Source organism: Homo sapiens, chromosome 19 (assembly GCF_000001405.40).
Source record: "Homo sapiens chromosome 19, GRCh38.p14 Primary Assembly".
In the NCBI taxonomy this organism is placed as follows: Eukaryota; Metazoa; Chordata; class Mammalia; order Primates; family Hominidae; genus Homo; species Homo sapiens.
This window is the reverse complement of record NC_000019.10, coordinates 17,348,368-17,351,454: the sequence shown is the minus strand read 5'-3', so window position 1 is coordinate 17,351,454 and position 3,087 is coordinate 17,348,368. Positions and strand designations below refer to the sequence as shown.

The following is a 3,087-nucleotide window of genomic DNA, read 5'->3' as shown; positions in this document are numbered from 1 at the left end:
CAAAGACTCCAGAAGCGTGATTTCTGCTTTTAAAGGTACCACATGGTTTCTGGGCATGCTGGCTCACGCCTGTAATCCCAACACTTTGGGAGGCCAAGGCGGGAGGATCACTTGAGGTCAGGAGTTCGAGACCAGCCTAGCCAACATGGTGAAACCACATCTCTACTTAAAATACAAAAATTAGCTGGGCGTGGTGATGCACGCCTGTAATCCCAGCTACTCGGGAGGCTGAAGGAGGAGAATCTCTTGAACCCGGGAGGTGGAGGCTGCAGTGAGCCAAGATCGAGCCACTGCACCCTAGCCTGGGCAACAGAGCAAAAAACAAAACAAAACACAACACAACAACAACAACAACAACAAAAGTACCACATGGCTATGAAGGAGAAAAGACTGGAAAGAAGATGAAAGCCAGGGAACCTCCTCCCCAACTCCTCCAGGCCACAAGACCCTTCAACCTGGAACAAACGTTGGGGGACACCAGCAGCCCCCAAGGCACAGGCATCTCTATACACAAAGGGAAATAGCAGAGTCATAGCCAAAGAGGGTTTAATGCAGTGGCTACAAGGCACAGCATCATGACGGCAATGCTGTTAAATTTAGTGTTTCCTTTAAACAGCAGGCCAAGAAAGATGTCTCACATCTGTAATCCCAGCATTTTGGGAGGCTGAGGCTGGAGGATCGCTTGAGCTCAGGAGTTCAAGAACAGCCTGGGCAACATAGCAAGACACTGTCTCTACAAAAACCTTAAAAATTATCCAAGCATGGTGATGTGCACCTGTGGACCCAGCTAATCTGGAGGCAGAGGTGAGAGAATTGCTTGAGCCCAGGATTTCAAGACCAGTTGTGGCAATATAGTGAGAACTTGTCTTTACAAAAGATTTTAAAAATTAGCCAGGCATGGTGGCACACGCCTGTAGTCCCTATAATCCCAGCACTTTGGGAGGCTGAGGTGAGTGGATCACCTGAGGCCAGGAGTTTAAGACCAACTTGGCCAACATGGCAAAACCCCATCTCTACAAAAAAACACAAAGCCAGGCGTAGTGGTGTGCGTCTGTAATCCCAGCTACTCGGGAGGCTGAGGCACGAGGACCTCTTGAACCCTAGGAGGCGGAGGTTGCAGTGAGCCGAGATCACGCCACCGCACTCCAGCCTGGGCAACAAAGCAAGACCCTGTCTCAAAAAAAAAAAAAAAAAAAGAAAGAAAAAAGAGAAAGAAAGTTCTAGGTTTGCAAAGAATTCTCCAGAAAAGGTACCAGTGTCCAGTTTAAAGACACTTTGGCTCACTGCTATCACTAAATTAGCCAGTAGTCAGGGAAAAGCAAATCGAAAGAACACAGGGAAATCACATTGCACCCAGCAGACTGGGAAAATGTCTTTTCAAGGTCATAACACCCAACACCTACTGCAAGTAAAGGTGTAGAAAAAAGGTCCTTTTCCTACAAGACTGGTAGAAATTCAAGTCCTGTAATAGCCCTTCCAGAAACTAGTTTAGTGAAACGTAATAAAATCAGGCTGGGTGCAATGGCACATTCCTGTAATCTCAGCACTTTGAGAGCCCTAGGTAGGAGGATCGCTTGAGCGCCAGAATTCGAGGTCAGCCTGGGCAACATAGCGAGACCTCGTCTCTACAAAAAATTTAAAGAAAACCAGGTGTGATGGTGCGTTCTTGTAGTGCCAGCTACTTGGGAGGCTGAGGTGGGAGAATTGCTTGAGCTCAGGAGCTGAAGGCTGCAGTGGGCTCTGATTCCACCACTATGCATCAACTTGGGTGACAGAGCAAGACCCTGTCTCAAATGAATGAATGCACAAAACTTTGACTCTGTAACCCCATCCCTGGGGCTTTATCTCTAACAAGTAAAAACTTCAGGACATAAAGCCAATGGCCATCAGGAAAAACAGCCTTAAAATCGCTGTCTAGGGCCGGGCATGGTTGCTCATGCCTGTAATCCCAGCACTTCGGGAGGCTGAGGCGGGCAGATCATTTGAGATCAGGAGTTCGAGACCAGTCTGACCAACGTGGTGAAATCCCATCTCTGCTAAAAATACAAAAAAATTGGCCAGGCGTGATGGTGCATGCCTGTAGTCCCAGCTACTTAGGAGGCTGAAGCAGGAGAATCGCTTGAACCCAAGAGGCAGAGGTTGCAGTGAGCCGAGATCGCGCCACTGCACTCCAGCCTGGGCGACAGAGCGAGACTGCATCTCAAAAAAAAGAAAGAAAGAAAGAAAGAGAGAGAGAGAGAGAGAGAGAGAGAGAGAGAGAGAGAGAGAGAGAGAGAGAGAGAGAGAGAGAGAGAAAGAAAGAAAGAAAGAAAGAAAGAAAGAAAGAAAGAAATCACTGGCTAGGATCTCAGCTTGTCTCCTCCCCCAACACCTCCCATCCTCTCAATCCCTCAATTCCCTCCCAGCCCATCCCCTGGGGTCCTGGACTGGGACGGATGAGTCACAAGGACCTGGGAGCTGGCAGCGCCACGCTTAGGGCAGGCTAGTCTGGAGGGACAAAGGAACGATATTTCCGGGATACGGAAACAAGGGCGAGAGATGGTCACCGCAGGAAGCGCTCAGCTGGGGCTCTGCCAAGACAGAGTAGGGGGGTCAGCCTGGCCAGACCGCCCAGACGGGCTGAGCTGGAGGCCCCAAGGAAGCGGGGACATCCCTGCCCCTAAGCCTACTGCCAGACAGCCCAGAGTCCTTAGGGGGAGACATTGATGCCAGCCAGTCCTAACCATCCCAGAAGACCTGATTTAGGATTTCAGAGCCAAACATCCCTGGGTTTGAATCTTGGCTCAGTCAATCCTAGCCTCCATTTTCTCATCCAAGCATTGGGTGTAATAATAATAACTCTAAGGTCAGGCATTGTTTTTATAAATAAAGTTGTATTAGGGCTGGGCACGGTGGCTCATGGCTATTATCTCAGCGCTTTGGGGGATCGAGATAGGAGGATCGCTTGAGTCCAGGAGTTTGAGACCAGCCTGAGAAATTTAGCAAGACCCTATGTCTAGCAAAAATTTAAAAATTAGCTGGGCATGGTGGTGCGTACCTTTAGTCCCAGCTACCTGGGGGGCTGAGGCAGGAGAATCACTTGAGTCC

The 3,087-nt window shown here is 49.3% G+C and overlaps 1 annotated feature.

Annotated features, from left to right (window-relative positions):
* Window positions 2,117-2,621: an enhancer, noted in NCBI's record as "H3K27ac-H3K4me1 hESC enhancer chr19:17459643-17460147 (GRCh37/hg19 assembly coordinates)". NCBI's record gives its function as "activates a minimal SCP1, AML or CMV promoter by ChIP-STARR-seq in naive H9 embryonic stem cells {active_cell/tissue: H9 hESC(naive)}" and the evidence as "EXISTENCE:reporter gene assay evidence [ECO:0000049][PMID:30033119]".